We start from the raw sequence: 24,228 nt of genomic DNA, 5'->3' as shown, positions 1-24,228 counted from the left end.
TCCCAAGAGAGGTCCCCATACTAACTGTACTCAAAGTTTTGTACTTTTCCGTCTTAGCTCTTATCCACACTTTGCATTATTTATTTGTTAACTGATTGACAATTAAATTCTAATAGGTCAAAGTCTGTCTCTGCTTTTGCTTACAACTGTATATCACTAGTATATGGAATCTAATTGGTACTCAAATACTTGTTAGCATAGATTAATGAATAAATTTCCCTCTGCATTGGGTTCCTATCTTGTTTCTCTCACCTGCTTAGAAGGCACTAAATTCCCACATTAGCCCCAATCCCAAACCTTCTCCAGTCTACAGGATAAAAATAAATGAAATCTAAGATCTATCCTACCCTTCTCAGCCAACAAAACATGCATCCCTAACCTCCCAGGCGACTTTACCTAGGAAACTACATATCTTCTTGGTATTTTAGGCTTTTAACTTTGCAGTTATTACTGAATACTTTCCAAATCAGAATAAATGTGAACACCCACGTGGCAAGGCCCACATACGTTTCTCCCTGGTTATATGTTTTCTATCACTGTAATCAACCAAATGGTCTTTCATAAAGGTGGGCAGAGACTGCCCATCTTCCTTTCTGTTTCCTAGCCACAGAATCCATATGCTCTGACATCTCCCCTAAATTGGCTAGTCTTTCTGCTCCATATTCACATCAACCTCAAACCCAACCAAGCTTTAGGTAGACAGTTTTCTTATTTATCAGCAATGTGGTATAAGAGGAATGAGCACACACAAATTCTAGATCCAGATTCAGAGACCTTGAATTCCCAGCTACACTGAATCTCTCTTAGAATGATTTTACATGTATAAAATAAAATACTTATGATTACAAAGGAAACCAACTAACTTGCACCCCAGGTTAAGAACCCTCACTTAGAAAATCTAAGTTCTCTCAATGTTTTTCAAAATGAAAAAAGTGACACCTCTCATTGCATAGTTAGGCATATTTTAAAAGACAGTGTATGTAAAGTGTCTGGCAAGACAACTAGGTAGTTTTAATACCTCCATGGTTAATTCAAATCTTATCAAGGTATCACTTATTAAGTTAGGAGCAGGGGAAAGAGGATCTTCAACACAATTATCTAATATCTATTCAGCAAAAAAAAAAAAAAGTGCAGAATTAAGAAGGATTAAGATCTTAAGTGGTTTCCCAAAACTTAAGCAACATCACAGTTCTTACCAGATCACTATCTAAAGCTTAAGATAACCCTAAACCAAAAGACAGACAGGGCCCCTTTCCATATCCCAATTTTTGAGTGATTTGAAAAAAAAAAAAAAAAGTTTACCTCCTTAAAAACAATTTAAGTTTATGACTTTCAAATATTATGCTGTATTAGCCAAAAATCACATTATTTTGGTTTGGAAAAAGATGACTTTAAAAAATATATAAGAAAACCAACAAGTTGTGAGCTTTCTTCAATATTGTTCAAAAGTTTCCTATCAAAACCATATATGTCAGTCAGGCATGGTGACTCACACCTGTAATCCCGGCACTTTGGGAGGCCAAGACAGGAGGATCACTCGAGTCCAGGAGTTCTAAACCAGCCAAGGCAACGTGGGGAAACTTCGTCTCTACAAAAAATACAAAAATTAACCAGGAGTGGTGGTGCCCACCTGTGGTCCTAGATATTCAGGAGGCTGAGGTGGGAGAATTGCTTGAGCCAAGGAAGTTGAGGCTGCAGTCAGCTATGATTGTGCCACTGCACTTCAGCCTGGGTGACAGAGTGAGACCCCATTTCCAGAAAAAACAAAGCATCTTTCATTTGTGCCTTAAGGTTTGAGGTTTTACACTTAATGACATCCCCCAAAAAAGCTTCTTCTGTGGACATTTCTACAAAAAAACACTTATTTTATTTTTTGAGACAGAGTCTCAATCTGTTGCCCAAGCTGGAGTGTAGTGGCGCGATCTCAGCTCACTGCATCCTCTGCCTCCCAGATGCAGGTGATTCTCGTGCCTCAGACTCCCAAGTAGCTGGGATTACAGGTGAGTGCCACCCACACCTGGCTAATTTTTGCATTTTTAGTAGAGACTGGGTTTCACCATGTTGGCCAGGTTGGTCTTGAACTCCTGACCTCCTGACCAGATGATCCACCCGTCTTGGCCTACCAAATTATTGGGATTACAGACATGAGCCACTGCGCCTGGCCTAAAAAGACATTTAAATTCAGTAAGAACTAAAGTGACTTGACCAAGCTCATGCAAGCTGACAGATGCAGCTAGTTTCTATTCTAAATTGTGTTATTTCACCCATGCTCCTTTGGCCCACAATGAGATGTGACTTACACTGTGTGGCTTCAAAGGCCAGAGTCAACTATGATTCACTACCTATAATTGTGAAATCTGCTCTTCTTTTAATGGGTATTTTGCAAATGTGTACCTTATTAGTACCTATGAAACACCTTGACCAAATGCTCGATATTTCAGATTTTTCAAGCCAATGTTTCCCCAACAGAAAATCTTTCTGATATATGAATTAATATTGTATCTAATAAACTAATATCAAAATCTCCCACTCTTACCATACTCTCATCTCACCTGACTATATGATTATAAAGGCCATCAGAAACACCAATGAAAATGTTTCCAAGTTTAAAAGCAGGAGCACAGAATGATATGGTTTTTAGACAAATTTTTAATTACATGTCTATTTTATGCCTTGCACTACAATGCAGGATACCACTTAATTCACTACTCCACAAAGAAATTAATTCCTTGTGCTTCCACTTATGTCTTCTTATGCCTAAATGTTTGTCGAAGATCCCAAGGTCCAGCATTCAATTAAAAGGGGTAAACAGTTTTTATACCGTGCTAGAAGTTTTTTCATTTTACATGGCTTGACTGGCAGCAGATTGCACTAACATTAAAGTTTCAATGGTGTGCAAAAATGAAAGGCTAGGCATTAGTCAAGGCACCAAATTGCTGACAATAGCAGGAAATGGTACATACAGATGGCAAGGACTAATTGCCTGCTAAGGACACCTGTAAGGACTAAGAAGGGGCATTAGACGCAAGAAACAGGTAGGCTTCAAAGAAAAAAGGACAAGTTAAGGAAGCAGGGCATTAGACTCAAGAAAAAGGTAGGCTTCAAAGAAAAAAGGACAAGTTAAGGAAGCAGGGCATTCCCACCACGCATAATTATGTGAACAAAATCAGCTAGGAAGCAACTCATTTCATACTCAAGTAGAAAGAGCAGGATAAAAATAAGATTAAAGCAGTCTTTATAGCCACATCTAATTAAGATCTGTTGTTATTCCAGATGAAGAGAATGCTACTGCCTCATCAGTAGATTCTTTCTAAACTGTTTCTCCATAGGAGAGGTAATAATTTTATGATTCCTTCACTTATCCATTCAAATAGCTGAGCACACACTACATGCCAAGCAGTGTTCTCGGTGCTAGGGATATAGAGGCTAGCAAAATAAAATGCTCTAACCTCGCTCTACCTGAATATTAAAGCCTAGTGTTTAAGGTCTGGAGACAAACTCAAGTTATTTAACTTCTTTAAGCCTCAGTTTTTGACACTAAAAATGTAGTTTACCATCTAGGATATTTGTGAGGATTAAATGAAGTAATCGCCACATAATATCCATTTAATGATTATTTTTTCTTTGCTAAATCCTGATGTAACCATTTAATCATAGTTATCCACTGTTATTATGTCTTCACCTTAACTTCTCTGTAACCAACTACTAGACATATTCTCTTTTTGTCATCTAAGTAAGTGGTTTTGTTATAAAGTCTCTCTAGGTGAAACAAAGTTAACAAGCCTTGGCCTCATTAATATCATCCATAACTATCTAAACAAGCCAGTCTAGACAGACTTGTATTTGTCCTAATAATAGAAGAATGGTTACATATTACTTGAATGTTATTTATTGACATTCATCTCAGCCCCTCGCCCCACCCCCATCTCACCCCCCAAAAACTTAATGCCCCTAAACCCTAGTGTAAGCATGGTCTTAGTTACTTGGTTCCTGCCTCCATCTCACCAAGCACAAATTGGTTTTGGTGTTTTGAGCCCAGGAGTTCCAGACCAGCCTGGGCAACAAGACCCCCCAACTCTAAAATCAAGGTAAAATAAAATCCTGGTTTTTTTTAATGCAACATGGCCCCCAAACTTAACATCTGCTACTCAACTAAGGAATGCAGTGATAAATCATGACTAGAAAAGAGACAGAAGATTGGCATCTTACATGAGGGTTGAGTTGTGATGTGTACAAGTAAGGCAAAAATCCAACCTAGCCAAAATTGTTTTTGACATGAATTCCCAGTTGTCTTCAGGTTAGGCACCAAAGTGCAGTGGAGAAGACACTGGGCCCAATCTGGATTCGCAGCCTCCCTCCGCAGCTAATTATGCAAATCTGGACAAGATTCCTTTTCCTAAATCTATTTCCTCATTCTGAAAATGAAGATATCACCACCTCCTCAAAGGATGGGGGCGGAGGGAGGAGATTTAAAAAATATATACATGTGAAGTTCCTCCTAGATTGCCTGCCTAACCCAACAGGTCCTCAATTGCTGCTACAGAAGGGAAGGGAACGCCTAGTCTCTCAACATCTGCCAAAGAACTAAAGACTGGAAAGTTTAAATAAAATCTTGTTTCCATTCAAATCACATAAAAACAAATGCACTAGAGAAAATTTTATTTGGCAGGCGAAATAAACCACAACAAGCACGACTGAAATCTAGTACACAAAGCCCAGCTTACAGAAAGGTTATAAGCCCAAAGCAAAAAGGTTGGCCATTCTTGCACCACAATATATTATCTCTATAAACATCAAAACCTGATTTGGCAGGAGAATGAGCCGAATGCAGGAAAAAACCAAACCTCACAGCCTATGACAGGAGCTCTGCTGTGGCATAGCTCTTGATCACTGGCCTGATGGTTAAGAGGGCAGCTTCTGGAGTAAAACTTCCTGGGTTTGACAGAATACAGGCTATGTCAATTCCTACGTATGTGTCCTTGGCAAGATGCTTAACGTCCCTCAGGCACAGTAGTTTCATCCATAAAATGGGGGCAATATTAGTACCTACCCCCAAGAACTGCTGTAAGGATTAAACGAGATCATAGTTGTGAAGTGCTTGCCACATGGTTAAATGCTCTTCGGTCACTCCTCCTTTTCAACAAGAGACAAGGCACAACACTGAAGCTTTAAAACATGCCTAACAGCATACCCCTTTCCTACAACTCTTTGCAGATAAATACCAGTTTGGGCATACACTGTCACCCTGAAAGTGTTCAAATGAACAGTGTTTCAGAAATCAACATATAATCAACTGCCAATGCTAAAACTTGCTGCCTTTATTTGAACATAGTTTAAGAAAAAGCAAAGATGATGGCCAAGTGAAGATTCTGAAACACATCTACTAGGCAGGGTGGAAATATCTTCTGTTCTGACAAGCTTCCTTCAAGTTATCACCACTTTGGAGTCTTTGTTAGGAACCTTTTTTCAGTTATTTTCGCACAAAGGAGTCTTTGTTGGTACAATGGCTTCCTCACTGCTTGTTCCCAGACAATCCTTTCACATCAATACTTCTATTAGGGAGCACAATCAGAATTCATCTGTCTTTGAAAAGATCTAACAGAAAAAGGTTCTGAGTGTCATAATGATTTAAAAAAAAATCACTGGCCGCACTTGTTCCCAATTCTCTCCCTCCCCTCATGCGTCCAAGTGCAGTATTTCTAAGCCAGTCCTCCAATATGCCATATATGGGACAGCTCCACCCCATCCCTCCATATATGGTCATATCCCACACCCACCCACCGGCTCATCACAGACAACCAGGAACCCACTCCTGCCCTGACCCACCATATACGGACAAACACCCATCCTAATACGCCAAACAGAACTTAAGCTCCTCCCTCTACACTCACTTCATTTTTAACAAGTCTGAAAGTTTTTTTAAAAGTTGAGTGAATAAATTAACAGGAACAAACAAACAAAACCAGCTGAAAGTACTTCCAAGCACTAACCTTCAATTCTTAATGACTCCAAACGTCACTTACAGGCCCTACCTAACGCTAACAAAAATACTCCTCCTCCTCTGCAGTAAAGATGAGACAGTCCTGGTGGGACACAGCACCGGCATTAATGAAGCGTGTCTGAACAACCCTAAGCCCATTATTAAAGCCAGGCAGCCAGGAGCTGTGGGCCAAACACAACTCGGCTCTATACAACCATTCCAAAGACTTTCAAGATCTAGCTTCCTGCACCTTCAGATCATATGCCAACTTTCTGGTCTCCGTTTTCAGAAAACGGAAGGAGGGAACCGATGGTCGCGTTACCACGGTAACTGCGAAACGTCCGGTGGCAGAGGCCCGGAGCCGCCTGTACCTTCAGATCCTTCTTGGTAACGTCGGTGTGGGAAACAGCTCGAATGGTCCCGGAGAGCCAGGGCCACTCGGCGACGCGCTCCACGTCCCAGCTGTCGTGGCTGCCATCGCTGCCGTCGGCTGCGGACAGACTGAGAAACCTCCTCCCCACCAATACCGGCCAACTTTCTCCGAGCGTGAGCACCATGGTTTCCACGCCTGCAGGAAGAGCTCCTCCCTGCAAAAACACAAAAACAAAATGCGACGGGGGCGGCCGGTGGGAGGGGGCCGGGCGGAGACAGCAGGGAGGGCGGGCGGAGGGCGCCGAACCCGCGCGAGGACGCGGCCCCGGGCGGACCCGCACCGAGCCCCCCTCCTGCGCCCTCCCGCCCCCCGCCGCCCTCCCCCGCCACACACCCGGGCCCCAGCGCCGCGTGACCCTCGCTCTCCCAAGTTTGGCTTTTCTAACAGCTCAAACGCAACCGCAGAGGGAGTGAGGGAAAAATTATCTGCGGCTCGAGTGGATTTGAAAGTGCTCAGCCCCCAGCCCCGAAAAGAAAAGGCCCCTGGTGCAGAGAGCCGGTCCCGGGCGGCTGGGTCCCCGCCCCGGGCGGCCCCACGGGGGAGGGTGGGCGAGCCCGCGATTCCGCACTTGCCCCGCCGCCCCGCCCCGGCGCCCAGCTCCCCGGCCCCGAACCCCGGGCGCCCGTCTCCCGGGCCTGCGCCGCTGCCAACGGGCGACGGGGCCGCGCGCTCGGCGCTTTCACCTTTCTCTCCCCTCTCCCCGCAGCCGAGGCCGCGGCGCTCTTACCCCGCCTCCCGCCTCCCTGAGTCACCGGCGGCAGCCGCCGTTTCCAGCCGCCTAGCCGACTCCAGCGCTGACTTGGTTCAAGAGCTCTCACAAGACACGCACAGCCTCCCGGACCCGCCCCCCTCGGAGCCGCTTCCGCCGCTCATTGGCTGAAACACAGGAGCTGGGCGAGGCTCCGGGGGAAACAGATCATCACCATTGGCCCCCCGGGCGAGGGCGGGGCCAGAGAAAAAAACAATTCCTTGGCTGCCTCCTCCCTTTCCCCTCCCCCTTCCGACTCCCGGGCGACCCCCATTAGGTTAAAGTACACAGAGAATAAGCGAGTGATCCCTCCGCCATAGGCCTATTCTTTCCATTTGTTGCCTCACAGTATGCAAAAAAAAAGTCCCGCGAAATCGGTTATCAACTTTGGGGCCCGGAGGAAAATTGCTGTGGCGCATAGATAAGACTGAATGGCGAGACCCTGAGCTATAAGTGCCTACTGGATTGTTCTTCAACCGCGTAGGCTGTCGACCGAAGATGAGCCTTCCACTTGGCGGAAGAATCTCACAGGAAAGGGTGAGGGCGGTGCAGGGTTAGCGGGGGAGGGCAGGGAAGAGAACGTGCGGTTTCAGGCGTACTCAGCTAGAGGGAGGAGCGATAGTGCTCTGGAGGCTCGTGCGCAGGCGCCTCGCCGAGCTTAGGCTGCTGGGCGAAATGGCTGCGGGAGGCGCAGGCGCACGTGGTACTGATCGTGGAACGTCTAAAGTCCGCCATTTTGAAGGATAAATGAAGAAAGGCGTGGAGTTACTGGATAATGACGTTCATTAAATTTAGAGCAAAAGAGACCTTTAAATACAATGTATAATGAGATTTTTTTTTCTCCAAAGTGGGATTGAGAAGGTATTCAGATACTTACAAAGAAATTTAAAGTAGTTGAAGGCCATAATGAATGATGGAAGAGATGAAAGAGAAGGTGACTTTGAAGGACAAAGGAGTTTAGAGGTGATTGTGTGCTCTGGACCTGAAGTATTTTGATTGAATGAAAAAGAAATGGAATGAAGAAATTGAAGATATGTTCATAAAGGCTAGTGTTTGACATTACATCACATTTAATCCTTAAGAAGAACTCATGCCTCCCATTTTACAAGCGTGGAAACGTATAATCAGAGAATGTTTGGAAACATATAAGGGATTATAGATGCAAATCAACTCTGGATGTTGATTTTCAATATACATATTCTGAATGTGATTTTAAGTTTTTAAAGTTAGTAACAAGAATTAAATTGGATTTATAATCTGTAGACCATTTAAAGGAAGGGGGCTGCTAAATGAGAAGAAAAAACCTATCCAGCTGAAAGAAGGCAGAAATGGGAACGAGATAAGCAAAAGAAACCAGAACATATGGTAAAAATGTTTTTCATGTGAAAAGTCCAAACATCAGTATTTACAATAAATGTAAATGGGTTAATTTCACTCACAAGTTTTAAAAGACAGTTGGGAATAAAAGGACAATCCAGCTATAAATTGACCATAAGCAAATGCTTACAAAACAGGAAGCTTGAAAATACTGGGCTAAAATATTTAATCAAATGGTAGCCAAATGAAAGCAGTATAGCAATATTAATACAATTAAAAGTATCAAAAGAGAAAGGATTTTATATTAAAGATAAAGTCCATGAAGACAGTATGGTCTCCTGAACTGTTATGAATCTAAAAACATGGCCTATCCTAAGGTGACGCTATGAACGATGAGAAATTTTACAAATTTGACAATTTGTTTTCAGAGTAGAAGACATAAATATCTCAGAAATATGCAACTCAAATGTAAAATATAAGGGAAGATATGGAGAACTTAGATTATGTAATTAAATATTAATTTGAAAAACAACTCAAGGGAAAAATTCTATTGAACCTGAAGGAACATATACTTTCTATGTTGAATTCATTATTTCAGAGCTTAGAAAAGATGGAAAGATATCCAATGCATTTTATAAAAGTTATAAAACCGTTTCACAAATTCTGAACTGGGCGAGTATAAGAAAGAAAAACTATGGTTCAATTATACTTAGGAACATAGATGGGAAATTCTTTTATAAAATACCAGCAAATTAAATCCAGCAGCATTTTTTTTAGGTAATTGATATGATTAATTAGTGTTATATGAATGCAAAGATACTTCAAGATTAGAAAATTACTAAAATTCACCATGACAGGTTAAAAAAGAAAAATCGTATATTCACCTTAGGGCTAAATAGAGCATGCAGTCACATTGAACACTTGTGATCTTAAGAGTATTTTTAAATTACATAGAAAACTAAGAAGATTATAAGTGTACACTTATATTCAATACCACCCATAATTTTTAAAAAATGTTTTTAAACTTTCTAAAAACCTAGGAATATAAGTTACGTACCACAGAAAAACACCCACACACATATGAACGAAAAAACATCTGCAAATAACCTAAGTGTACTCCAGTTGGAGAAGGAATAAATAAAATTATTAACAATAAATGGAATGTAATGCATATATTGGAAAGTTGTAGAGGATTTGTAAAGGAGTCAAAGCAGCTAGATGTTCCAATAAAAATAGTTACCAAAATACATTATGAATGAAAAAGAAATTTGCATTTGGTACTATTTCAAAATACACATACAAAAACAACAGTATATATGTTCTGTTAAATATGGTTATTAAAACTTACAGTAATGGTTACTGGTATTAGGGGGTGCACACTAGAATTAGGGGTATTAGTCAAAGACAACACATATTATTTGTAATTCTAATTTTTTATAAATACACTTTTTTTGTATTTACATTTTTATCACCTTATTTTTAATTGACAGGTAAAACTATATGGTGTACAATATGATGTTTTGGTATAGATATACATTGTGGAATGGCTATATCAAATTATTTTACATATGCATTCCCTCACATACTCATCTTTTTTTGTGTGGTGAGAACACTTAAAATCCACTCTTAGCAATTTTCAAATATACAATATATTGTCATTAACTGTAGTCACCATGATGTACATTAGATCATTTGAACTTATTCCTCCTGTCTAACTGAAATTTTGTGTCCTTTGACCAACATCTACCCAATCTCCCCACTCCCTGTAATTCTCTCATTTTATAAGGTAAATGTACTCACATGTTACTTTTAAAATTTAATTTTTAACTCTCATTAATGGAATCTGCTACATTAACAAATTAAAGGAGAAAATACATATGATTATCTCAATAGATACACCAAAAATTTTATATACTTCATTTTCATTCATTATAAAAACTCTTAGCAAACTATCAAGAAAAGAAAATTTTATAACTCTATAAAGGATATCTACCAGAAATATACTTAAACATTGTACTTAATTGTGAAATTTTAGAAAAATTCCCAATAAAGTCAGGAGCAAGATAAGGATGCCCAATGCTGTCATTACTATTCAAGTTACAATAGAGGTTAATTGCTAATGTAATAAGACAAGAAAAATAATACAATGTAAACATTGGAATGGAAGAAAAAGCCCAAAACATTTGTAGATAAATCAAAAGCATCAGTGACAAATTATTAGAATTAAAACAAGAATCAAAAAGATAATGCAATAAAAGATCAACAAACGAAAATCAAAAGAATTCCTATTCCTTAGCAAGCATCAATTAGAACATACAGTAGAAAAATAAAAACCATTAATGATAATAAAACATGTAATCCCTAAAAATTAATACATGAAATGAACACAACCTATATGAAGAAAATTAGACTTTGCTGACATGTATAAAGAAGATGAAAAATTCTGTCTCTTGATATGATCTGATAAATATGTCATTTCTCCTCTAACAAAACAACAAATAAAAACATCAAGACATAAATATATAAGTAATGAAGAGAACAAAGAAACAGACCCAGTGTATATTAAAAATTAGTTTGTGATCGACATATTTCTAGTGGGTGTAAAGAATAAACTATGCAATACATGCTTTGAGGTCTATTGATTATCCATTAAAAATGTATATATAAGCCGGGCGCAGTGACTTATGCCTGTAATCCCAGCATTTTGGGAAGCTGAGGTGGCAGATCACTTCAGGTCAGGAGTTTGAGACCAGCCTGGCCAACATGGTGAGACCTCATCGCTACTGTAAAAATTAGCTGGCTGTTGTGGTGCACATCCACAATCCCAGCTACTCGGGAGGCTGAGACAGAAGAATCACTTGAACCTTAAACCCAGGAAGCAGAGGTTGCAGTGAGCTGAGATCACGCCACTGCACTCCAGCCTGGATGACGAAGCAAGACTCTGTCTCAAAAAAAAAAAGTATATAATGTATATATAACCAAGATTCCTACACCAACATTCACGAAAATAAGTTCCAGGTAGATCAAAATGCTACATATTTTAAAATCCAATAAAATATTTTAAAATTCCCTCCTCTCTTCTACTTTTTTCTCTTTCCTTTCCTCTTTCTAAACATTTCAGTCTTGAGGCCATTAGGAGGGGCAGAGCAAGATAGGTGTTAATAAGGAGAGGCTGTCAGCCATGGGATGTTAGAGCTCTAAAGAGTAAGGAGTAATAGCCGGGCATAGACAGTCAGAGCCCAAGTGGGGTGAGAAGGGTAGACACACAAAAGGTTAACCTAGCCTGGGTTATCTAGAGTCCAAGTGAGGTGAGGAGGGCATCCATGAATGGGGGCAGCCTAGTGTGGTATGTTGGAGCCCAAACAGAGTGAAGAGACTGTTTACATGAGAAGAAAGCCTGGCATGAGTAACAGAGCCTGAGGAGGGGGAGGAGAGTGTGTAGGAGAGTGATTTGACATGGATGTCAGACCCCAAGGAGGGTGAGGAGGGCATTCATGTAGGGACCAGCAGTGGGCACTGAAAAGACCAAGAGATCTCTTAGAAGCAGCAGGAGAACCAGGTGAGAGGTACATTCTGGAAGCAAGCCAAAAAGAGTTTCAACTTGGAAGACCATGCAGTAAGGTCAAAGGATACACTGAGGTGAAGACAGATGGAGGACTGAGCAGCAGGATATTGAAACTGCCAACAAATATATTTTAGCCACTGGGTATTGCCAGAAATAACTTCCACTGGTTAGTAAAAATTATCCAAGCTTCAGGGTATATATTCCAGTCAAATCCTGACACTAACTTGCTGTGTCAACCCTAGCTCCAGAGGACATCAGAAGTTCCCAAATGCCTTAAGAAAGTTGGCAACAGAAAATTTGGAATATGCTTGACCTTGATTTCTCAATTTCAAAACAATTAGAGCACAATATTTTTGCCTAAATCTGCTTCCCTGAAATAGCACAAGAATAACTCGTGTTTTATGTGAAAATCTAAATGTCTTATGCTATTTCTGTTAAGGCAAAGCACCTGTGACAATTAATGAAGTCATCCCAGAGTGTCAGCGCTAAGCTCCTTGCCTCTGGGTATTTTAAAGACTTTTTCTGTTGAGGAATAATTTATATCCAGAGAAAAGCATAGATCTTAAGTGAACATTTTTATCAGCTTATGAATTACATGCATCCAAATAACCTACACCCCATCAAGATATAGAACAGGGGTCAGCAAACTACAGCCACAGGCCAAATCTGTTCCACTGCCTAATTTTCTACAGCGTTTCAAGAGTGGTTTTTACATTTTTTAATATATGAGGGGGAAGCGAGAACAATGTTTTGTGACACATTAAAATTATATAAAATTCAAATTTTATATAATTGGTGAGAAATTATTATATTATTATTATATTCTTTGTGTCTACAAATAATATTGTTTTAATTTTTATTTTATTAATAATTTTTTTAAAAATAGAGATGGAGTCTCGCCATGTTGTCCAGGCTGCTCTCGAACTCCTGAGCTCAAGTGATCCACCTGCCTTGGCCTCCCAAAGTGCTGGGATTACAGGCCTGAGCCACTGCACTCAGCTATAAAGAATATTTTAATAGAACATAGCCATACCCATTTGTTTATGTTTTATCTATGGCTGATTTCACACTACAGTGATAAACTTAAGTAGTTATAACAGAGACTGTATGTCCTTGAAAGCCAAAAATAATAATACTTTTGCTCCTTATAGAAAAGATTTGCCAAAGTCTGAGACAGAATATTTCCATGACCTCTAAATATTCCCTCATGCTGGGAAGGAAGTACTCCTTCCCAGAGTAACTGTTGTTCCAGTTTCTATCATCATAAATTACCTTTGCCCGTTGTTTAATTTAAAGGCAGTAATACAGTATATACTCTTTTGTGTCTAGCTTCCTTTACTCAACATGTTTTTGAGAGTCATCCAGGTCATCACATCTATAGGAATTTTGTTCCTTTTCATTGCTGGGTAGTATCCCGATGTCTGAATATGCCACAGTTTGTATGTCCACGCTTTTTTTGTTTTGTTTTATTTTGAGACAGCATCTTGCTCTGTTGCCCAGGCTAGAGTACAGTGGCGTGATCTCAGCTCACTGCAATCTCTGCCTCCGCGGTTCAACCAATTCTCCTCCCTCAGCCTCAGCCTCCCAAGTAGCTGGGACTACAGGGGCGTGCCACCATGCCTGACTAGTTTTTGTAGTTTTTTAGTAGAGATGGGGTTTCACCATGTTGGCCAGGCTGGTCTCGTACTCCTAACCTCAGGTGATCCACCTGCCTCAGCCTCCCAAAGTGCCGGGATTACAGGTGTGAGCCACAGTGCCCAGCCAATATGTCCATGCTTTGTTGATGGATATCTGAACTGTTTTCAGTTCTTGGATACGATGAATATGTTTGGGTTTAAAAACACTTCTTAATGTTTTATTTGTTTTCCTTTTCTGCTCTTTATATTTTCCAACATTTTTACTCTTTCTGCATCTCTTCCTGAAAAACCAGACTTCCATCTGATATAATTTCCCTTCAGCCTAATCAGCCTTAAGAAATAGATTCATACCTTTTTCAGTAATTTAGATATCAATAAGGACAAATAAAGGGCATAATAAAATATTTGCTTACTGTGCATTTCTGCTCATTGGTAATACTAAGTCAAGAATTTGATATATATTCAACTCAGTTGCATTACATGTTTCTATGTATATGATTTGATTAACCAAAAAATGTATGCAATGTCAAGGTTTTTTCTTGTTTTGTTTTTTAAAATAAGAGCAGTTCAACAGCACTGGGAGTTGTTTAATACAATACAGAGAGCATAAGGAAAGAAGTACAAAATGTCATTTAGCAGCAATGGCAAAACATCTTACTATGTTTATAATTAAGGATATTATTAATGTTGTGTTGTTTATGTTGTTTTAGAACATACATGAAAGATATTCATTTGACTTTGAGGTATATATACAAGACATAACACAATTACATGAAAAATATTTTTCATAAGTAACATTATGTTTTAACATATTGGAAAGTGAATATCAATGTTGGTTTGTATTTTAACTTAATAGACAAAAAAAGAACACAATTGAACCAGGAAGAGTTAATACTGATAGTAAAGCTCTTAAATATGTCTTCCTTTACCTTTGTACTTACCACAGGCTATACAATGTTGTGAAAGGGTTCATTATGAAAAAAGTGTCAGTCACCACTTTGAGACCTTACTTTGGAAGAAACTAATGAGAAAGTCAATTGGAAGATGAGACTTCATCTTTGTTTTCAAATAAGTTGTCTTAATTTTTCTTCTTATGGAATAAGTTTAAATAAGTTTATTATACATAAATCTAAACTATTAATTTTTGCAGCTTTCAGGTAAAGTCTAGCTCTTATTTTACTCTAATGAACTTATTTTAGTATATCTTGAAGTTGAGACCTGCTGGAGATAAATTATTTCAGCTTTCATCTATTCAATAGGTTTTAATTTCACCTTCATTTTTTTTAGAGACAGGATCTTGCTATGTTGTCCAGGCTAGTCTCAAACTCCTGGCCTCAAGTGATCCTCCTACCTTGGCCTCCCAAAGCGTTGGGATTACAGGTGTTAGGCACTGCACCCAACCTCACCTTCATTTTTGATTTTTTGGATTTTTGTAGATTGATTTTATATCCTCCAACTTTACTGAATTTATCAGTTCTAAGAGTTTTTTGGTGGAGTCTTGATTTTTTTATGTATAAATCATGTTATCTGCACACAGGACAATTTGACTTCCTCTTTTCCAATTTGAATGCCCTTTCTTTCTCTTGCATAATTCCTCTGGGCTGGCCTACGGCTTCCAGTACTATGTTGAATACAAGTGGTGCAAGTGGGAATGTTTGTCTTGTTCTAGTTCTTAGAGAAAAAGCTTTCAACTTTTCTTCACTCAGTATGATGTAGGCTGTCAGTTTGTTATATGTGGCCTTTACTGTTTTGAGGTATGTTCCCTCCATACCTAAGTTTTTTATAGTTTTTATCATGGAGAGATATTGAATTTTATCAAATGCTTTTTCTGCATCTATTGAGATGGTCATATGTGTTTTTTTCCATTCTGTTAATGTGGTGTATCATATTTATTGATGTGCATATGCTGAGCCTTCCTTGCATCACTGGGATAAATCTCCTACTTGATCATGATATATAATCTTTTGGATGTGCTGTTGAATTTGGTTTGCCAGTATTTTGTTAATGAGGTTCACATCTATGTTCATCAAGGATATTAGCCTGCAGTTTTCTTTTGTTGTTGTTGCATTCTTGCTGGTCTTGGTATCAGGGTAATGCTGGCATTGTGAAATGAGTTAGCAAGAACTTCCTCGTCTTCAATTTTTTGGAATAGTTTGAGAAGAACTGGTATTAGTTCTTCTTTAAATATTTTATAGAATTCATCAGTGAAGCCATCCAGTCCTGGGATTTTCTTTGTTGAGAGGCTTTTTATTACTGTTTTAGTCTCATTTTTCATTATTCATCTGTGCAGGTTTTCTATTTCTTCTTGGTTCAGTTGTGGTAGGTTGTATATGTTCAGGAATTTATCTGTTTTCTCTATATTTTCCAATTTGTTGGCATATAGTTGTTCATAATAGTCTCTAATAATCCTTTATATATCTCTGGCATCAGTTGTAATGTTCCTTTTTATTTCTGGTTTTATTTATTTTGAGTCTTCTTTCTTCTTTGTCTAGCTAATGGTTTGTTAATTTTGTCTTTCCAAAAAACAAACTTTTCATTTTGTTGATCCTTTCTAGTTCTGTTTTAGTCTCTATTCCATTTATTTCTGCTCTGATATTTATTATTTCTTTCCTTCTGTGATTTTGGGTTTGGTTCTTTCTTTTCTAGTTTCTTAGGGTCCTTCATTAGATTATTTGAAACCTTTCTACTTTTTTGATATAAGCATTTATTGCTATGAATTCCCTCTTAGTACTGTTATTGTTGTATCCCATATGTTTTGGTGTGTTGTATTTCCATTTTCATTTGTTTCAAAAAATATTTAAATTTGCTTCTTAATGTCTTCATTGATTCATTGGTTGTTTAAGAGCATGTTGTTTAATTTCCGTGCATTTGTACAGTTTTAAAAGTTCCTCTTGCCTTTGATTTCTAATTTTGTTATATTGTGGTCAGAAAAAAATACTCGATATAATTTCAATTTTTAAAAATTGGTTGACTTGTTTCATGGCCTGACATCCGGTCTATCCTGAAGAATGTTCCATGGGTGGTGAGAAGAATGTGTATTCTTTATCTTTTGAATGCAATGTTCTGTAAATAACTGTTAGGTCCATTCAGTCTATTGTGCAGTTTATTTATTTATTTTTGAAACAGAGTCTTGCTCTGTTGCCCGGGCTGGAGTGCAGTGGCACAATCATGACTCACTGTAGCCTCAACCTCCCAGGTTCAAGTGATCCTCCCGCCTCAGCCCCCCAGGTGCCTGGGGCTACAGGCACATGCCACCACACTCAGCTAATTTTTGTATTTTTTGTAGAGGTGGGGTTTCACCATGTTGCCCAGGCTGGTCTCAAACTCCTGAGCTCAAGAGATCTGCCTGCCTCAACCACCCAAAATGCTGGAATTACAGGTGTAAGCCACCATGCCTGGCCCTATTATGCAGTTTAAATTTCATGTTTCTTTGTTGGTTTTCTGTGTAGATGATCTGTCCAATGTTGAGATTGGGATATTAAAACCTTCAACTATTATTGCATTGGAGTCTATCTCTCCTTTTATATATAATATATAATAATATTTGCTTTATATAACTGTAAGCTCCAGTGTTGGATGCATACGTATATTTACAACTGTTATATCTTCTTTTTGAATTAGTCCTTTTATCATTATAGAATGGCCTTCGTTGTATTCTTTTAGTTTTTGACTTAAAGTCTATTTTATCTGATATATGTATAGCTACTCCTGGTTCTTTTGGGTTTACATTTGTGTGTAATATCTTTCTTTCATACTTTTGCTGTTAGTCCGTATGTGTCTTTATAGGTGAAGTGAATTTTTTCGAAGGCAGCATATGTTATATAATAGTTTGGCCTTTTAAAAATCCCTTCAGCCAATCTATACCTTTTAATTGGAGAATTTAATCTATTTACATTCAAAGTTATTATTGATAGGTAAGGACTAACTCCTCTCATTTGGTTAATTGTTTTTGGTTGTTTTGTATATATTTTGTTTTTGATTTTTTGTCCTCTTTTTTTGTTTATCTTTGCAGTTTGGTGGTTTTCTACAGGGATAAGATTTTATTCTCTTCTCTTTCTCATTTGTGCATCTGCTCTACCACTGAGTTTTATACTCCCATGTGTTATGGTGTTAATTATCATCTTTTCACTTCAAGATGTAGGACTTTCTTAAGCATTTCTTGTAAGGCCAGCTTACTGGTGATGAATTCCTTCAGATTTTGCTTTCTGGGAGAAACTTTACTTTTCCTTCATTTCTGAAGGATGTTTGCTCTGGATATAGTATTCTTGGCAATGAGTTTGGATTTTCTCCCAGAGTATTCAGCATATCTTTCCATTCTTTCCTGGTCTGTAAGGTTTCTGCAGATAAATCTGCTGTTAACCTAATAGGGATTCTTGTACATGTGACTTAACACTTTTCTCCTGCTGTTTGTGGAATTATCTCATTGTCTTTAATTATCTCTTGACAGTTTGACTATAATGTTCCTCAGAGAGAACCTTTTGTGTTGGATCTATTAGGGACCGCTGAGCTTCATGGATCTGGATATCTATGTTTCTCCCAAGACTTGGAAAGTTTTCATTTATTATTTCATTACATATATTTTATATGACTTTTCCCATCTCTTCTCCTCCTGAAACTCCCAAAATGTGAAAATTTGTTCATTTATTGGTGTCCCATAAGTCCTGTATGCCTTCTTTATTCTTAATATTATTATTTTTATTATTTTTGGTCTGATGGGGTTATTTCAAAAGACTTGTCTTTGGGTCAGAAATTATTTCTTCTGCTTGATCCAATCTATTGTTGAATCTCTCATTTGTTTTTTTTTTTAATTCCGATCAGTGAATTCTTTAGACCCAAGATTTATGTCTGGTTCTTTTTTATGAAATGTATCTCTTTGTTGAGTTTGTCTTTCAGATCATGAATAGTTTTTCTGATTCCATCAAGCTGCCTATTTGTATTATCTTGTGTCTTGCTGAGTTTCCGTAAGATCATTATTCTGAATTCCTTTTCTGACATTTCATAGATTTCCTTTTTGGGAGGTCTATTACCGGAGAATCATTGTGCTTCTTTGGAGATATTATGTTTCCTGGCTTTTTTGTGTTTCTTATGTCTCTGCATTGATATTTGCACATCTGGTGGAACAGTTACCTCTTCCAATTTTGTGGAGTAGCTTTTGTAGGGAAGGACTTTTTTTTTTTTCTGTGTATTCTATACTGTCAGTTGGATAGGGTGCTTTGGCTTTGTTTCTGCCTGGGCACAGCAATGTAGTCTCCATATGATTTCTTTGGCTATAATTAACATCAGTGGTATTTGAAAGTGCATGAGTGGCCTAGATTATGAGCATTTGTGGAGGCAATTGTGTGGCTTTTCTGTGGGCAGAAATTGCCAAGTCAGCCAGTTCTCAAGCCCTGGGGGTGGAAGAGTGTCCCATGTCAGGTATGGTGGCTCTGCCAGTTTGAGGGGCAGCACAAGTGGCAGTAGGTGTCAAATCAGCTGGTCCTTGGTCCCCACTCCCTGAGGTGAGCTCTGCACGTGGCAGCTCCACCAGTCAAGGGATCAGAGTTGCTGGCAGTGGTGGGTACTAGATAAGCTAGCTTCCATTTCCTGGGGCACATGCTCAGCAGTTCCACTGGTCAAGAGGGTGGAGTTGCTGGCAGTGGCAGGGGCCAGGCAGGAGGTTCTCAAGCCCTGGGAAACACACACATTATCTCCCTCAGTCTTTGGGGCCGCCTCCCTGCTGTGCAGGACTCCCTGTTCCTTGGGGTGTATGGTGCTATGTGGGCTTGAATTGTGCCAGTGCCATGGCTGTACTGCTGGGTCTAGCTGGGGTAGTGGCATTGCAGCCTCTTGTGTGGGCATTGTGGGTTGATGTTGGGTCCCCAACAATGTGAAGATGCAGTGGCTATCGAGACCCAGAGCAGGATGTACTCTAGCAGTGGCTGTGTTCTCAAAATGGCACTGTGCCTTAGTGACTTTGGTCCTAGGGAGTGGAAATTTCCTAGCATGGGTTTTTTTTCTGGAATATTGCTGCCATGTGGACTCCAGGAAGCTCTTGGTACTGTGCTCAAAGCCCATGAGGACTGTGGGGTTCTCCTGTGGCTAGGACTGTTGGTAATGGGGGCTGCTGGGGATTTCCTGCTTACTTTTTCCCTACAGTAGGGTGTCCCTCTTTCTTTTGAGCCAATCCTGGCTGGGTGTTGCACTTCCCTCTCTATGCTGCCATCTTGACATTTTGTGCTTCAGAGAGTTGTTGTTTCTTCCTTCCTGGACTCCATTGTCCTCTCTTAGGCACTCTACTCAAAGTGCAGTTATTTGTTGTTTTGGTCCTTTGTGGAGGAAGTGAGTGTTGGGCACCTCTAGTCAGCCACCTTGATGACTTTATAGATCAAGATTCTGGAGTCTGGCAGCATCTTGCTGTTCTCAGATGCTTGGGGATTGGATCTATCTTAAATTTATTGGCATATACTGTGTGTCAAATAACAGAAGAGCTTGGGGTAAATAATACTTACATTCAGAAAAGGTGTATCTCTTCTTCTGTCATACTGTTAATGTAGTGGGTTGGGACAATCTAGTCTGAAATTGAATGCGACTGGGCTTTGTATATGTTAATTAGACTCAGTTTAGTACATACTTTGAATTATTGAGAGCAGATCAAGGCCAGGACTAAGATGAGGCAAGTGAGGCATTTGCTGAGGTGCAGAAAGAGAGAGGATCAGTAAGGGCTATACCAAGAAATATTGAATCCTGAAGCAGAAGGAAAAATCAATAAGACCATTTCTGTCTTTATTAAAACTTTTTTTTAATTAAAAAAATCTTGTTTTATTTTGTTTTTTTTATTTTTGTAGAGACAGGGTCGTCCTATGATGCCTAGTCTGGTCTCAAACCCCTGGGCTCAAGCAGTCCTCCTGCCTTGGACCCTCAAAGTGCTGGGATTATAGGCCTGAGCCACACTTCAGGCCTTTTTAAATTTTTTCATATTTTTCTCATCATGGACTTTTTGCACAAACTGAATTTTTAAAATATTGCATTAAAATATTATTTATTGATTAATTGAGTGTTCTTGCCTCCCCCTTTTGTGCCCAAGGCAAGTGCCTCATTCACCTTATTTGCCTCACCTTAGTCCTGGCCCTCTAATATCAAGACGTTTCTTTTAGCAGGGCTTGGAGTCTGAGTTCCTGGAGGATTTGCCTTCCTTCTTTTGATGTGTGCACAAATGTCAGCAGGGTCCATGTGACTGCTCCTCAGGGGATCTCACTGAGCTCCCCCAAGCCATAAATGGCTGCTGCCTGATTCAGGGAGGTTGTCTCTCAGCTTATCTGTCTCTTCCCCACTGGTAGGCAATTGCTCCCTCATATTCTGTGTAAGGCCCAGATTGCTCCTCCATTCTCTTGCTTCACCCTCAGATTTCAACAGGTGTAGCACATCTGTCTCTCAGGTCTTTTACCCTAACCTGTTTTGTGAGCACTCATTGGAAAGTCCTGTGGAAAAGAGTTATCAATTTGGTTCAGACTCCCCTGTGTCTTCACCATCCAGGAATTCGAAACTGTCCCACATTCCATCATTACAATTGCATTAAAGATTCAGCTGTTTTTTTCTTTTTAAATTTATTATTGTTATTATTATTATTTTTAATAGAGATGATGTCTCGCTATGTTGCCCAGGCTAGTTTCAAACTCCTGGGTTCAAGCAATCCTTTTCACCTCAGCCTCCCAAAGTGCCAGGATTACAGGCATGAGCCACTGCACCCAGCCTCAGCTGCTTTGTTATTGCGTACATCTATGGATATTCTCTTCTGCTGAAGTTGCTACTTTACCATGGGTCCATTCTTTCCTAGGAGGGCTTGCCAGTTCTTGGATTTTCATTCATTAGGTTTCTTTGCAAGCTCTCTAAGGGGCTTAAAATAGCTATGCTTCTGTACATTCTTAACTCATTCTCATCATTACAGTTAGAACAATATTATCTTGAAGCGTTCTACATCCAGAGTAGAGGCAGCAGTCTCTTGTTTACTTTTATTACTCCTCTGATAACAGCTGGGCTGACTCTGATCCACTATTTGAAACTCTTAGTCCTTAGATGAACATGATCTCTGATCAACTTGCCTTTGACTCAACCTTGACCCTAATCTTTTTGTATTCCCTGCATCTGAACTGGGCTTGCCTGTCTTCTTATTCTAAGATTCTGCTTTGGCTTTTCAATCCTGTATTATTTTCCTTTGAATCTATAGTTACTAGCACACTGTTGTTGCTCAATAAACATTGTGCTGACCTTGGACAGTTTAAATCTATTGCTCACATATTCCTTCTCAATTCCTCTAACCTTCTATATTCTGAAGCAACATCTTTTTTGCATAGTTCTTCGATTACCTGATTCCTTGCCTTTTTCTCTGTTTGTGTTGTCCAGGATCCATTTCGGCACATTGAACATGACCAGGCATGGCTAGGAGGGACAAGAAATACCAGCGTATCTATGAGATCAGCAAATATACCAGGCAGACTTAGCAGGTGAGCAGAGCATAACTAGAGAAAAACCTTGGCACATACATACCCATAGTAGAAGAGAATTTTAAATGCTTGGCATTCAAAGACAGGGCACAAATAGCTGAAAAGAAAAAACGGACAAAGCAAGACAATATGCTTAAAGAAACCAGGTAGAAATCACCATTGATGCCATATAGTCTTGTAGTTTTCTTTGCTGGGAGGTTTTTGATTACTGATTAAGAGATTACAGTCTCTTCACTCATAGATCTGTTCAGATATTCTATTTCTTCTTCATAAGTTTTAGTGGTTTGTATGTTTTTAGGAATTTTCCATTTCATCTATGTTATCTAATTTGTTGGTATACAATTGTTCATAGTATTGTAATATTTTTATTGTTATAAGGTTCATAGTAATATCTCCACTTTCATTTCCAATTTTAGTAATTTGAGACTTCTCTCTTTTTTTCTTGATCAGTCTAGCTAAATGTTTGTCAATTTCGTTGATATTGAAAGAATCAACTTTGGGGGTCATTAACTCTATTATTTTTCTAATCTCTGTTGCATTTATCTTCAATTTTTATTACTTCCTTCATTCTCCTAGCTTTGGACTTTGTTCTCCTTTTACTAGTTTCTTAAGGTATACAGTTAAATTATTGATTTAAGATCTTTCTCTTTTTTTAATGCCATGTTTCAGTATGAATTTCCCTCTGAGCACTGTTTTTGCTGGATCTCATAAGTTTTGTTATGTTGTGTTTTTATTTTCCTTTGCCTCAAGATATATTCTAACTTCCCTTGTGATTCTTCTTTGACTCATTGGTTAAGACTGTGTTGTTTAATTTATACTTTGTGAATTTTCTAGTTTTCTTTCTGTTAATGATTTCTAGTTTAATTCTACTGGGGTCAAAAAGATATCTTATATAATTTCAATCTTTTAAAATGTGTTAAGACTTGTTTAGTGGCTGCTGCTGATGATCTGGAGAGTGAATTTTGTAGGTGGGTAAGTTAAAATGCTACAATGCTCCCTTACTAAAATGTAGCTGCTTCTTTCTTCATTTAGCATCCCCTGGTTGTTAAGTTTTTTATTATGTTCCAGATTTCTGTAAAAGTTGATTATGACAGCTCTTGCTAACTTAATCATTGCTTTAGAAGACAGACACAGTTTTGAACTTCCTTACTCTGCCATTTTCAGTCCTTTATATTTGTTTTGCATTTTACTTTCACAAATGTCATAAACTCCACAATACATTTTTATTATTTTTGTTTAAAGTCAATTGTCTATTAAGAGAATAAGATAATAAGAAAAAGTCTTATCTATTTATCCATGTAGTTACCATTTGTGATTTTTTCATCCCTTTACATAGATCCAGATTTCCATCTGGTGTCCTTTTCCTTCTGCCTGAAGGACTTTCTTTAATATTTATTGTAGTGTATGTGTGCTGGTGAGTTTAGGCAATTCGCTTATGATATGCCTAGAGATAGTCTTATTCATGCTTTTATGCTTGAAATTATTGATTTTCTTGGACCTGTAGGTTTTTTATTTTCAAATGATTTGAAAATCTTTGGGTTCTTTAATGTTGTTTGTTTTCTCCTCTCTCATCTCCTTTCGTTACTCTTATTGGATATAGATTAGACCATTTGATGTCCCACAGCTCTTTGATGTTCTGTTAAATTGTCTTTCAGTCTTTTCACCCTACGTGTTTTATTTTAGATTATTTTTTGTTTCTCTGGCTTCAAGTTTCCTAATTTTTTTCTTCTATAATGTCTAATCTGCTACTAATCCCTTCCTTGGTATTTTTCATTACAGACATTGGTTTTTGTCATCTCTAGAAGTACGGTTGGGTCATTTTCCTTGTCTCTCCTTCATATGCTCATGCTTTCCTCTATTTCTTGATCATATAAGATATTTATAATAATTGTTTTTATACCCTTGTCTACTAATTCTACCCTCTTTGACATTTCTTGGTCTGTTTCAATTGACTGATCTTTTTTCCTCCACATTTTGCATAGTGTGTCTCATAATTTTTGATCAAATGCCAGATATTGTGAATTTCACTCTGCTGGGTGCTGGATATTCTTATATTCCTTCAAATATT

At 38.7% G+C, this 24,228-nt stretch overlaps 1 protein-coding gene across 6 annotated transcripts in view, besides 7 other annotated features; it reads right to left on the bottom strand.

The window, feature by feature from the left end:
- Window positions 1-11,541, bottom strand: part of KDM3A (lysine demethylase 3A) — a 55,673-nt gene extending 44,132 nt beyond the window's left edge. The window contains exons 1-2 of one of the 6 annotated variants that reach the window (XM_047445102.1): window positions 7,623-11,541; window positions 6,352-6,567 (exon numbers count right to left, since the gene is read on the bottom strand). In XM_047445102.1, the coding sequence (XP_047301058.1) occupies window positions 6,352-6,537 (186 nt within the window). In that variant the 5' untranslated portion in view covers window positions 6,538-6,567; window positions 7,623-11,541. The other 5 variants (NM_018433.6, XM_047445101.1, NM_001146688.2 and 2 more) reach the window with 5 other exon arrangements.
- Window positions 6,371-6,430: an enhancer, noted in NCBI's record as "active region_16161". NCBI's record gives its function as "activates an Ori minimal core promoter by ATAC-STARR-seq in GM12878 lymphoblastoid cells {active_cell/tissue: GM12878}" and the evidence as "EXISTENCE:reporter gene assay evidence [ECO:0000049][PMID:35858748]".
- Window positions 6,631-6,680: a silencer, noted in NCBI's record as "silent region_11713". NCBI's record gives its function as "represses an Ori minimal core promoter by ATAC-STARR-seq in GM12878 lymphoblastoid cells {active_cell/tissue: GM12878}" and the evidence as "EXISTENCE:reporter gene assay evidence [ECO:0000049][PMID:35858748]".
- Window positions 6,901-7,290: a silencer, noted in NCBI's record as "silent region_11712". NCBI's record gives its function as "represses an Ori minimal core promoter by ATAC-STARR-seq in GM12878 lymphoblastoid cells {active_cell/tissue: GM12878}" and the evidence as "EXISTENCE:reporter gene assay evidence [ECO:0000049][PMID:35858748]".
- Window positions 7,421-7,500: an enhancer, noted in NCBI's record as "active region_16160". NCBI's record gives its function as "activates an Ori minimal core promoter by ATAC-STARR-seq in GM12878 lymphoblastoid cells {active_cell/tissue: GM12878}" and the evidence as "EXISTENCE:reporter gene assay evidence [ECO:0000049][PMID:35858748]".
- Window positions 7,581-7,780: an enhancer, noted in NCBI's record as "active region_16159". NCBI's record gives its function as "activates an Ori minimal core promoter by ATAC-STARR-seq in GM12878 lymphoblastoid cells {active_cell/tissue: GM12878}" and the evidence as "EXISTENCE:reporter gene assay evidence [ECO:0000049][PMID:35858748]".
- Window positions 7,581-8,145: a biological region, named in NCBI's record as "OCT4-NANOG-H3K27ac hESC enhancer GRCh37_chr2:86667563-86668106".
- Window positions 7,602-8,145: an enhancer, noted in NCBI's record as "OCT4-NANOG-H3K27ac hESC enhancer chr2:86667563-86668106 (GRCh37/hg19 assembly coordinates)". NCBI's record gives its function as "activates a minimal SCP1, AML or CMV promoter by ChIP-STARR-seq in naive H9 embryonic stem cells {active_cell/tissue: H9 hESC(naive)}" and the evidence as "EXISTENCE:reporter gene assay evidence [ECO:0000049][PMID:30033119]".

This window comes from Homo sapiens, chromosome 2 (assembly GCF_000001405.40).
Source record: "Homo sapiens chromosome 2, GRCh38.p14 Primary Assembly".
NCBI lineage: Eukaryota > Metazoa > Chordata > Mammalia > Primates > Hominidae > Homo > Homo sapiens.
This window is presented reverse-complemented; position numbering and strand designations above follow the sequence as displayed.